Source organism: Homo sapiens, chromosome 1, assembly GCF_000001405.40.
Source record: "Homo sapiens chromosome 1, GRCh38.p14 Primary Assembly".
Classification (NCBI taxonomy): domain Eukaryota; kingdom Metazoa; phylum Chordata; class Mammalia; order Primates; family Hominidae; genus Homo; species Homo sapiens.
In genome coordinates, this window is record NC_000001.11 from 155,463,552 (window position 1) to 155,477,272 (window position 13,721).

A 13,721-nucleotide genomic window follows, 5' to 3' on the forward strand; every position below is an offset into this window, starting at 1 on the left:
CTAGGCCGAGGTAGCCAGGTTGCTTGAGTTCAGGCGTTCAAGACTAGCCTGGACAATATGGCGAAACTCAGTCTCTACAAAAAAAAATAAAAATTAGCTGGGCATAGTGGTGCATACCCTGTAGTCCCAGTTACTTGGGAGGCTGAAGTGGGAAGATCGCTTGAGCCCAGGAGGTAGAGGCTTCAGCAAGCTGTGATCGCACCACTGCACTCCATCCTGGGCGACAGTGAGACCCTTGCCTTAATAATAATAATAATAATGATAGAAAGAAGAGCAGTGAGTTATACCCAGTAGGGAGCTAGAACTAACCTATTAACATCAAGCATTTACCTTAAACATAGAGTGAATCCAATTAAGAAGTACTACTCATATAGGCACCTCCAGGGCTGGTAGGTACTTGCAGGGTAGGAAAAAGTTACTCTGAGTGAATCTTCTAATTCACTGACTCTTCGCCATAGCTTTTGCAGAGTATGCCCAAGAGATGAGTCAGAACCAGAAGACGTCTGGCTTTCTGCTCAGTTTTTTCCCAAGGGAGAAAGTAGTTTTCTGCTTCCCCTACTTAGCCCTTTTCCTTGCTGTCTCCATCATGTGACAAATGTTTGCTCATGTCTCAAGAGTAGCCATTTTAGATCTGCCTGGAAGGATGTGTGGAGGCTCCCCATTCCACAAAGGACAAGAGGTTTATATGAATTCTAGTTCAAGAAAATCTGACACTTCCTCAAAGCATACACACAAAGAACACAATTGTAGATATCAAAGAGTTCCCATCATTTTTCATTTCAAAATACTATAAAGCAGAATAAGTATTTCAGAAGTGAATAAAGACTACAAATAGGAATTCCTTAGTTCACAATATTACTACGTAGACCACCGCTGTGTCTCATCACTCAGATGATGACAACTTCAGAATATGTTTGGAAATTCTACACACATAAATGCAGGAAGTAGAAATTATAGGCAAGCTGCAAAAAAAAAAAGTACCTAAATAAAATTGGATTTCAGAATAAATATAAGTAGATTATTAAGGGAAATAGTTTTTCTTCCGTTGGAAATAAAGGCCCTCATGTAAACAAGGCAGACTACTAGTAAAGAGGAAGACAGAAAAAGAGAATACCATAAATTGGAATAATACAGAGAAAATTAAGAATTAAAACCAAACTTGCAAATGTGAAGGAACCTTGGAAGTGATTTTAATTATAGACTCTCTGGATTTTATTTGGCCAGTATTTGATGAACTTTTGAAGATAAAGACAGGATTTACAGAAACATTTTTGCCAATTTAAACAAGAGGGGAAAGGTAGTGCTTTTACAGCAAAACTGTAAGATGAAATCAGGGATACAAACTGTCAAAGTTGAAAAAGTAAAAAAAGAACATAACTGGATCATAAAGAAATAAGATTATGAAAATCTTTATAATAAACAGAAAATGAGCAGAAACCAAGAACCTGTTTTCAAATTGATTTGCCACAAAAAATCTTGATTGACATTTCCACTGGAGGAACTAAAACAAACCAAAGATATAAAAGTAATGCTACTTTTACAGATGCCTGGGTGTGAAGACAGTAAAACAGGCAAAGATAGCAGAATAGATAAAATTCTCACTGATAATAGTGTCTGCAGTGGTGGAGGCATCCCAAAGAAATCATGAGAATAAAGATTCAACTAACTACTCATTGAAGCCCTGAGCATCCTAGCCTAGAAAAACAAGGAATTTCCCTGGTGCCAAATACAAATTAGCAAAAAAAAAAAAAAAAAAAAAAACAGTGAATTAAATCAATAGTTGGTTGGACAAAACATATGTTTCTTTAGCCTAAGTTCACTATTAAAGCTTTTATAACTTAATATAGTATGAATTTTAGTCACACTCTGGAGATCAACACTAAAGACACAAGTAACTAAGAAATCATTTATATGAGTGGAATGTTTGATGTTTGCAATGCTAGAAATATCTTTGGGTGAATTACAGAAAAATAAATTAAGTATGCTAATTTGGAAGAATGCTATGCAGTAGTCAGTTCTAAGATATTATCGATTTTAAAATAATTTACTTTAAAAGTTTCTAACACTGAAATTGTTCCTTCCCACCAAAATTAAATTGTTACAAAAGTTTAGTTTTAAAAAAGATTTCTCTTCTTTCATTATTTATAAGTCAAAGCTATTTGGGAATGTGTGTTAAACAACGACTGAACCAAAATTGGTTGTAATAAAAATGGCTACCATAGTAAAGGAATATGAACATAAAATATCAAACTATTTGAGAACTTCTGGTCAAGATTTTTTTTGTTCCCAGATTCAAGTTCTGAATCCTTTGGTATGGTTCACAGTTGATAGCCACCTTGGAACCTTCTTGTGAATGAGCTGAATGCTAAGGTAAAAGCTGGGTCCACAATAAAAACAGCTGTTTTCAATTGTGGGAAATACAGAAAGCAATACATTTTATCTGATGCACCAACTAAATGCACTACAAGAGAGTATGACTCAGAGCCTGTTCTGGCGATTTTTAAGCTATAAAGTCTGTTTTGGCCGGGCGCTGTGGCTCATGTCTGTAATCCCAGCACTTTGGAAGGCCGAGGCAGGCAGATCACGAGGTCAGGAGATTGAGACCATCTTGGCTAACACGGTGAAACCCCGTCTCTACTAAAAATACAAAAAATTAGCCAGGCGTGGTGGCGGGCACCTGTAGTCCCAGCTACTTGGGAGGCTGAGGCAGGAGAATGGCATGAACCCGGGAGGCAGAGCTTGCAGTAAGCCAAGATAGCACCACTGTACTCCAGCCTGGGCGACAGAGTGAGACCCCGTCTCAAAAAAACAAAACAAAACAAAACAAAACAAAAACTCTGTTTTTTTCTCTAACTAGGCTATTTTTCATAATGCCCAAATGACATCATTCACTGAAATGGAATTCTTCTGGAAATTCCCCTAACTGCACTAACCACACCACAAACAATTTTCTTTCATCTCTGTAGGTTCACACTTCCTTTATAGGCATATCTTTTTTCTATCATGTTTTAAATCTTTTTAAAATTGATACATAATAGTTGTACATATTTATTGGGTACATGTGATATTTTGTTACATGTATAGAATGTATAAGAATCAGGTCAGAGTATTTTGGGTATCCATCACCTTGCGTAGTTATGATTTCTGTGTCAGGAACATTTCAAGTCCTCTCTTCTAGCTATTTTTGAAAAACACAATATTGTGCTGTCACCTATAGTCACCCCACCCTGCTACTGAACATCTGAACTTATTCCTTCTAACTGTTGCATAGGTGTGTCTTATAAACAGCACTAGAGAAATTGTTTGAGATCAGTATATTCTGATCAAAGCTTATACTCTTCAGTTAAAGAGAAAACTCAGTATTCTTTGCTTCAATCTATATGCTTGTACAGTGAATATACTTTTTCCAAAAAAAAAAGGTTTAAGCCTCACTTATTCTTGGAGGACAAAATATTCATCATCACTGAATGCACCAAATAATGTATATAATTTACATGTAGTAAATCATTTATAATAATGTTCCATTGTCTGCTTGTTCTATGACTTGTAAGCTATAAATGCTAAATGAAAATACTCCATTCTACTGCTCTGCCAATTTTAGAATCCAGGTTTGTAAGTTCTGTCATGTGTAGCCAGCCATGAGTCACATATGCTGAAAAACAGGGATGAAATAACTGACATTCCAGGTCAGAAACTCTTGCTCATCCAAGTCAGAAACTCTTGCCCATGAGACCTATTTCATGTCTACCTAACATACATACATAAATTAAATAGAATCACTATCAGGATTGGGAGAAACCAGGAAACCTGGCCTTACTTAAGTGTGTAATTTTACTGTAATTTCACTTGCATCAAGCTGATTTTATAGCTGTTAGTCTGTACAGTACAGAACAGTATATGTTAGAAAAATAAGCTAACTACCATATGCACATAATTTATAAAAGTGATTATAGCTGTTATTCCTTTTAAGTCTTCATAAGATTTAATTTTACAGTGAATATACTTGTTTACTTTAAAAATGCTCAAAGTGATAAGTCAGTTTGATTCCCCATTTTTGAAACAAGGAGAGAAGGGTTAAATGCCTTGGTCCAAGCTACACATTCCAGTGTCCCTAATCTGGTTTCATTTATTTTTCCTGAAATTTATATCAACATGATTTATCAAATATGCCTGTTTTACCCCCAACCAACACTTATGAGGAATCCACTCAATACAAATAGTAAATAACCTTTATTTCTTATTTCATCAATTATCAGTTTGAGATATGTTTTACTTAACAATTTGTATTCTGCTGTATTAAAAAAACTCATTATTCTGGAATAAATTCAGATTTACATAAAAGTTACAAAGATAGTACAGAGAATACTCGTATGTCCTTTACCCAACATCCCCCAATGTTAACATCTTACATAACTACAGTACATTTGTCACAACCAAGAAATTAATATTGGAATAATACTATTAACAAAATTCCAGACTTTGTTTAGATTTAGCCAATTTTTTTCCACTCATGTCCTTTTTTCACTGTCAATCTGGGATATCACATTGTATTTAGTTGTCATGTCTCCTTAGTCTTCTCTGTTCTGTAAAAGCTTCTCAGACTTTCCTTGTTTTTTCAGGTCCTTGATACTTTTTAGTACTGGTCAAGTATTTGTAGAATGCCCTTTATTATTATTATTATTTTTTTTTTCTGCTTAGATTTAACACATTCTATCAGAGAGTACATGATATCACCATGCCTTATCATTGGTGAAGTTAACCTTGAACTTGGTTAAGGTGCTGTCTGCCAGGCCTCTTCACTGTAAAGTTACTGCTTTTCCCTCTTCATACTCTGTTCTTTAAAAGTCAGCAGTCCAGTCCATATTCAAGAAGAGGTAAATTAAGTTCCACCTCCTGAAAGTGTGTTCTACATATATTATTTGGAATTTTTCTGTAAGGAAGATTTGCTTCTTTTCTGCCAAGTATTTATTTAGTCAATCATTTATTTAAATCAACATGGATTTATAGATATTGACTTTATTTTTTAGGTTATAATCCAATCCTCTCATATTTATTTTGTTGCTCAAACTGTCCCAGCTTGGACCACTGGGAGACATTTCAGGATAATAATATCCTGAAGGTGATCAACAATATTGCAATACCTATTATACAGTAGGTAGTTTTGGGAGCATTTTAACATGATACCAAATGTAAAATGAATCTACCTTAAATTTATATATGGAAAAAATCAACTGAAGACCGAGAAGATCACTTAAAAATCATATGTAATTATGTATTTCTTAAACCTTTATACTTCAAAAAGCAACCTGACATCACAGATTGAGAAAATGTAATTACATCTTCAACAGAATGCTATAGAATAACAATGTCATTGTAAGGAAAAAGCAAATAATAAACCAGTCAGAAGTGCTACAAAAGAAAACACTGAGGAAAAAATAGCAAAATGTAAAGGTGTAAGAATTTTAATTGTCTGCATTTCCTAACTTCCATTCCTCAGCCTCCAGAAATCTAACATTTGCCACTATACAAATGGCTCTCAGACACAAGACAAACTAACCGCCAAAGCCAATCATCCACTTTCAGTACTTACCTAACCAATCTCCCATAACACTTGACACTCTTTTTTTTAATTAATTAATTTTTTTTTTTTGAGACGGAGTTTCTCTCCTTGCCCAGGCTGGAGTGCAATGGCGTGATCTCAGCTCACCACAACCTCCACTTCCCAGGTTCAAGCAATTCTCCTGCCTCAGCCTCCTGAATAGCTGGGATTATAGGCATGTGCCACCACGTCCGGCTATTATTTGTATTTTTAGTAGAGATGGGGTTTCGTCATGTTGGTAAGGCTGGCCTTGAACTCCCGACCTCAGGTGATCTGCCCGCCTCAGCCTCCCAAAGTTCTGGGATTACAGGCGTGAGCCACCACGTCCACCCACTTGACACTCTTGACTATAATAAACTCACTTAAGAAACCCACTGAATTCACCATAAATATTGTCATTCCTTCTCATAGCCTTAATAATAAAGTATCTATAATTATCTTCAGGTTTTACCTCTCCTTTGAGCTACAGATCCATCTGTCCTACAAAACAGGCTTGAAATCCAAATTTATTACCTATTTCCAACCTTATCCTTTTGCATATCTCATTTCACTTAATCACATCATCTCTACCTTGGCTCAGAGCCTCATAATAAGAGCCTCATAATATTTTGTGGGAGCAGTTTCCAAACTGATCTACCTGATCTCTTTTCACTAATCCATCTATCACACTGCTGTCAATGTAATCTCAACAAATTATTCCCCATCTTAAAACCCTTAACTTCTCATACCTTATAAAGTAAACTCTATACTCTTGGGAGTCTCATATAAACGAGGACTTTATGATCTGCCTATCTTTCCAGTCCCATCTCTTGGGTCCCATATCAAACCATTAACACTTAACTAAGCACAGTAACACATCCCCATGCCCTTGCAAAGCTGATATCTAGTGTAAGAAACACGTGTCACACATTATTCTTCGCTGCTAAATTCAAAACTCCCTCCTCCTTCCCAAGACCTTTAAAGTCAGTCCCTCACTTCTCTGCTCCCCAAAATGCCTTGTAAGTATCTCAATATTAAGAACCGTCAGGCTGTGCGCGGTGGCTCACACCTGTAATCCCAGCACTTTGGGAAGCCGAGGCGGGTGGATCACCATAGGTCAGGAGTTCGAGACCAGCCTGGTCAACATGGTGAAACTCCGTCTCTACTAAAAACACAAAAATTAGCTGGGCATGGTGGCACACACCTGTAATCCCAGCTACTCAGGAGGCTGAGGCAGGAGAATTGCTTGAGCCTGGGAGGCGGAGGTTGCAGTAAGCCAAGATTGTGCCACTGCACTCCAGCCTGGCCAACAGAGTGAGTCTGTCTCAAAAAACAAAAAACAAAAAAAAACAAAAAAAAAAACTGTCAATAACTATTCATATACATGTCTAAACTATAAATCAACTTTAAAGCAGAAATTACCTTTTTTTTTTTTTTTCTGAGACAGAGTCTCGCTCTGTTGCCCAGGCCGGAGTGCAATGGTGCAATCTCGGCTCACTACAATCTCCACCTCCTGGGTTCAAGTGATTCTTGTGCCTCAGCCTCCCGAGTAGCTGGGACTACAGGCATGTGCCACCATGCCTGGCTAATTTTTGTATTTTTAGTAGAGGCAGGGTTTTACCATGTTGGCCAGGCTGATCTCGAACTCCTAACCTCAAGTGGCCCACCCACCTCGGCCTCCCAAAGTGCTGGAATTACAGCATGTTCCTTCTCCTGGCACACAATAGGCACAAAATAACTGTTTGCTGAAAGAACAGCTACCATCATAAGGGAATAGTTAAGAATAAAAATCAAATACATAAAATACTCCTAAACAAAACCAGTTCTGACTTTCAAAGGGATCAAAACAAAAGATATCTGAGCCTGAATTAATATTTTTATTTAGTATTCTGCTTAACTAAAAACTTTTCCTCGACTGGTTTTTGTTAAGACAACTAAACCTATTCTCACATCTACCTGAAAAAAGTATATTAAGTTTCTATTAGAAAATCAAGTCACATCTCCATGTACTTATCAACAGTAATTGTGAAGAAGATGGAGAGATTCCAAGATAGAGAACAATTAACAAAAGAATTTAGACTTATGATCAAGTAAAGAATATAGCTGGTCTTTGTCCCTGGTTCCTGGCACAGAGTTTCAAAAACCCTTGTAATTACCCAAGTGACAGGAATGTCTCTGTTACGACAGTGAGATGAAAGCCTGAGGTAACTTCAAGATGGGGGCCGGTGACCAGAAAGACCAAATCACATAATTAAAAATCTGAAACTTTGGGTCACCCCAACCTCAAGGGAGTGGAGAACTGAAAATTGAATTAAAAAACATGGCCAATGATCTAATCAATCCGGCCTACCTAACAGAGCCCCAATAAAAACTCTGGACACTGAGGTTCACTGGAGCTTCCAGGTTGGTGAATATAGTGATGTGCTGGGAGGGCAATGTGCCCGGATTCCACAAGGGGAAAGGCATGGAGGTCTGTGGACCCTTCTTGCACCAAACACTGCTCTATGTATCTCTTCAACTAGTTGTTCTTGATCTGCATCCTTTGTAACAAAACTGTAATCATACTATAGTGCTTTCACAAGTTCTGTGAGTCCTTTTAACAAGTTACCAAAATTGAGGGGGTTGCACGAAGTTGCAAATTTTTAGCAGGCCAGGCAGAAGTATGGATGTCTCAGGAACACCAAAATTTGTGACTGGCATCTGCAGTCTCATGATGAACTCTGCTCTTAACTTGAGGTCTTCACTAGCTTCAGGTAATTTGTATTCAGAATTGAACTAAATTGTACAACATCCAATTGGTGATAGAGAACTAGTGTCAGAGCAGTGACTTCAGAGAGGTCTTTGTGGTTTCTGTATGTTATTTTATAAAGAAGAAAAAAAGCCAAGTGCAGTGGCTCACACCTGTAATCCCAGTACTCTGGAAGGCTGAGACAGGTGGTTCTCTTGCGGTCAGGAGTTTGAAACTAGCCTGGCCAATACAGTGAAACCCCGACTCTACAAAAAATTCAAAAATTAGCCAAATGTGGTGGTGCACTTCTGCAATCCCAGCTACTCGGAGGCTGAGGCAGGAGAACAGCTTGAACCCAGGAGGCGGGTTTTGCAGTGAGCCTAGATTACGCCACTGAACTCTAGCCTGGATGACAGAGAGAGACTCCATCTCAAATAAATAAAGAAGGAAATTTTTAAAAAGACAAATTCGTACTTAACACAGGTACTTTTGCATAAACTTCCCTGCTATCTTTCTCATTCCCCAAGGACCCTGAAACCAGGTTCACATCCACCATTTTCACCCCAACTTCTGTAACTGTCCTCTTGGGTAATTTCAATGTCCATGTAGATGATACATTCAACATCCTAACCTGTCATCTCATATCACCTTCACCTCAATTTACTCATCCTTTATAATCTCCTTCTCATGACTCTGAAATTAGGGATCTCAAATCCAAAAGTTCCCTCTTTAAATAGCTGAAGAGGGCCAGATACAACACACAACAGAAAACAGTGAGGACTGTGGCGAACAAAAGAATACAAGCAGCAATGAAAAAGGGCCTGCCAATACTGAGCCCCAGCCATCCCTATTATCCACGAAATGTGGACTAATTGTTGCCAGATGTTCTGATTTTTCTGAGAAGCAGAATTCCACATTTTTATGTAAAATTGCTACATTTTTTAATATGAGCAATTTTTTAAAAAGTGTAGAGATCATCACAAAGAATCACATGTGGGCCAAAAGCTGACAGTTTTTTAAGCACTACTTTAAATACTGCAGTTCCTCAGAGCTACCCAAGGCTGTTTGTTTTTCACTCCCTATTCTCTCCCAAGGAAAATATCATTACTCTCATGATTATACATATAAAAATTCACAAAGGTATACAGTATGTTTTGTTATTGTATGTGTTTCTATATAGTTAAATAGCTCTTGTATCATTGATAAATACAAGAATGATACCAGAATATGGAAGTTGTATTGGTTAATACATGACTTTTAAAGCACATAAATATTTTGCAGGACAAAACTAGCAGCTGAACGAAGGAGTACACCAACACAAACTAAATGAAGAAAGCCATAAGCAATGTAGTTCTGTTCAAAATGTACATTCATCCACATTCTTCCTCTTGGCTCCTACTGGCAACAGACTTTTCTGCAAGTGTTTTTATTGTGTGGCTTCTCTCAATGTTTGTACAAAAGAAACAAACAGGTACAATACACTAGAACCAGCTATGTCTGGCATTGCTACATTTATCTACCAATGACATCCTTCTGTGCCTACAGTTGAGCAGCTTCAACCCTTCTTTATATCCCTACAAGCGACCTTCATCTTTTCCTGGAAGGTTAATGCCTATATTTATTGTAGTATTTCTATTTTTTTTTTTTTTTTTTGAGACAGAGTATCACTCTGCCAGCCCAGGCTGGAGTGAAGTGGCACGATCACAGCTTACAGTAGCAGCCTTGAACTCCCGGGCTCAAGTGATCAACTTGCCACAGCCTCCTGAGTAGCCAGGACTACAGGCGTATGCCATCATGCCCAGCTAATTTAAAAAACATTTTTCTGTAGAGATGGGAGGCTCCTATGTTGCCCAGGCTGGTCTTCAACTCCTAGGCTCAAGTGATACTTCAACCTCACCTCTCAAAGTGTTGAGATTACAGGCATTAGCCACCATTCCCAGCCTCTTTATTTATTAAGACATTTAGTCTTAACAATATATATACATATATTTTTTTTGAGACAGACTCTCACACTGTCATCCAGGCTGGAGTGCAGTGGCACAATTTCGGCTCACTGCAACCTCTACCTTCCAGGTTCAAGGGATTCTCCTGCCTCAGCCTCCCGAGTAGCTGAGACTACAGGCACATACCAGCACTGCTGGCTAATTTTTTTATTTTAGTAGAGACAGGTTTCGCCATGTTGGCCAGGCTGGTTTCGAACTCCTGACCTCAGGTGATCTGCCTGCCTTGGTCTCCCAAAGTGCTGGGATTACAGGCATGAGCCATTGTGCCTGGTCTAGTATGTCTTTTTAACTGCTGTTTTTGAAAATTATTACTTTTCTTGATGCTCTGCTTATAAAGTTGCACAGGTTTTTGAGAGTCTGTTCCTAACTTTTATTTCACCCAGAAGCCCTTTTTAGTGAATGATATTGCCTAACACAATTTTTCAAATACTCAGAGGAAATGCTCTTATCTCCAGGTCAAGCTTCTCTACTAAGCCTGAGAACTAGATACCCAACGACCTTCTCAAATCCTCCGCTTCAACGTTCAGACACTTCAAACTGTATGTATTAAAAAGTGGCTCAGAGTGGTGACTCAGGCCTATAATCCCAGCACTTTGGGAGGGCAAGGTAGGAGGGTCCCTTTGAGCCCAGGAGTTCAAGATCAGCCTGGGCGGCATGGCGAAACCCCATCTCTACAAAAATACAAAGAAATTAGCCTGGCATTGGTGGCTTGCACCTGTAGTCCCAGCTACTCAGGAGGCTGAGGCTGGAAAATGGCTTGAGCCCAGGAAACAGGTTGCAGTGAGCCAAGATCGTGCCACTGCACTCCAGCCTGGGCAACAGAGTGAGAGCCTGTCTCAAAAACAAAAGAAAAAAAAAAACTGTGTTCTCCTCTAAATCTGCTCCTCCTATAGTCTTCTCTCTCTTAGTGCATGTTATCTCCAATCTCCCATATGTTCAGACATAAGCCTGCCACTAACCTAATCTAAGCACCATCATGTTATCTAGACTACTGCAATTGCCTATTAACCAGTTTCCTTCAAATTATTTTTATCCTCTCCATCCAGTGTTCATGCAGAAGGCAAAATCATCATTTAAAAATGCAAACCTAAAATCAATACTCCTTTGTCTTTTGTTCTTAATATAAAATCCAAAATTCTTAACACATTGTTTGGTCTCTTCTTTTGCCACATTTCTCACTACTCTCTCTGTATTTCCTCTTTCACCACGATGAAGCTTTTTTCAGTTTATCCAATATCTAAACTCCTTCCCAACTGAGAATCTTAAAACATGTTCTTCACTGTGGCTTTTTTTTTATTTTTATTTTTTGAGATACAGTCTCACTCTGTTGCACTGGCGTGATCTGGGCTCACTGCAATCTCCGCCTCCTGGGTTCAAGCGATTCTCCTGCCTCAGCCTCCCAAGTAGCTGGGACTACAGGCACGTGCCACCATGCCCGGCTGATTTTTGTATTTTTAGTAGAGATGGGGTTTCACCGTGTTGGCCAGCTGGCCTCAAACTCCTGACCTCAAGTGATCTGGCCACCTCAGCCTCCCAAAGTTCTGAGATTACAGGCGTGAGCCACCGCGCCTGGACTTCACTGTGGCTTCTCATCCTTTAAGTCTCAACTTTTTATCCTCAGCCATAACTAGTAACTATCTAATTAGATCCCCTTCTGCCAGCCCTTTAATCTGTATCATAACACTCCATGGTATTAACTTTATAGCATTTTTCTCAATTAAGCCATTATTTATTTGCTTATCACTCTATGGTTTGTCTTCCTTCACTAAGCTGAAAATTATGAGGTCAGATATCAGGCATTTACTATTGTATATGCCAGTGACTAGAATAGTCCTGTATGTTTCAGGAATTCAACATATGAACCAGTAAATGAATGAATAATGAATGAGTCTGTTTATCCAGTTAAATGTTGCACATCTGCCAGGTCTCAGTTTAGGATCACCTTCTCAGGAAAGACTTCTCTGGGTTAGGCTCCCCATTTCATGCTGTACTCTCTCCCTTTTACAGTCCTTATCACAATTTTAACAACACGTAATGTGATTTTTTGTTTATTATCTACCTCCTCTACTATAATCTCCATGACTCAATGAACCTGTGTGCCTCATTCTCTATTATATAACAAGGGCCCACAAAGTAGAATGCCTGGTAAATACCTGATATTCAGTAACTATTACTGATTAAATAAACTATTTGTTGAATGGACCTAAGCATAAGACTTTTTCTCTCTTTACGTTGTTAAAAGCTGGCCGGGTGCAGTGGCTCAAGCCTGTAATCCCAGCACTTTGGGAGGCCGAGGTGGGCGGATCACGAGGTCAGGAGTTCGAGACCATCCTGGCTAACACGGTGAAACCCTGTCTCTACTAGAAATATAAAAAACTAGCCGGGTGTGGTGGCATGCACCTGTAGTCCCAGCTACTCGGGAGGGTGAGGCAGGAGAATCGCTTGAACCCGGGAGGCGGAGGTTGCAGTGAGCCGAGATTGCACCATTGCACTCCAGCCTGGGCAACAGAGCAAGACTCCGTCTCAAAATAAAAAAATGAATAAATAAATAAACACTGTTAAAAGCTAAGGAACACTCAGATTCTCCACTAAGTTTTAATTTTTCAAAAGTTCATGAATAATGAAAATCAGGAACAAAAACTCTTTGTATTCGAGGGGTTTATCTTTTCCCTAATACACAAGTCTTTTTTTGTTTTTTGTTTTTTTTTTAAGATGGAGTCTCGCTCTGTTGCCCAGGCTGAAGTGCAGTGGTGCTATCTCGGCTCACTGCAAGCTCCACCTCCAGAGTTCACGCCATTCTCCTGCCTCAGCCTCCCGAGTAGCTGGGACTATAAGCGCCTGCCACCATGCCTGGCTAATTTTTTTTGTATTTTAAGTAGAGATGGGGTTTCATCGTGTTAACCAGGATGGTCTCGATCTCTTGACCTCATGATCCGCCCACCTCGGCCTCCCAAAGCACTGGGATTACAGGTGTGAGCCACTGCGCCTGGCCTAATGCACAAGTTTTTAATCTTTTAGGGGAATAATAATAATAACTAATATTTGCATGCTTACTATGTGATTACTTTTCATAATACCCCTACAAATCCCATTATATAGGAGGTTTAGAGAATATACTGAGGTTTAGAGAATTTACTTGGAAAATCTGATGAAATTTTTCTAGATTATCACTAAAAAAGATGCACAAACATATATACCCGTAATTTTACTTACAACATCAGAGGGTTTATGGACTTCCTAGAGTTATTTTACAAACTCTTAGGCTTAAGATCTCTCACAAAGAACTTCTAATCTTTTATTCGAGTGGCAAATGCTTACTCTTTGTTTTCTATCTTCTCAATTCTTAAAAGGTGTATAATTAAGAGAGAAAAAGATGTACAATTCTTTCTAGATGTACAAATGCATTTTCCAG

The 13,721-nt window shown here is 38.7% G+C and overlaps 1 protein-coding gene across 14 annotated transcripts in view; it reads right to left on the reverse strand.

Annotated features, from left to right (window-relative positions):
* The window catches only part of ASH1L (ASH1 like histone lysine methyltransferase), a 227,935-nt gene that overhangs the window by 128,284 nt on the left and 85,930 nt on the right, over positions 1-13,721 (reverse strand). The window lies entirely within an intron of this gene.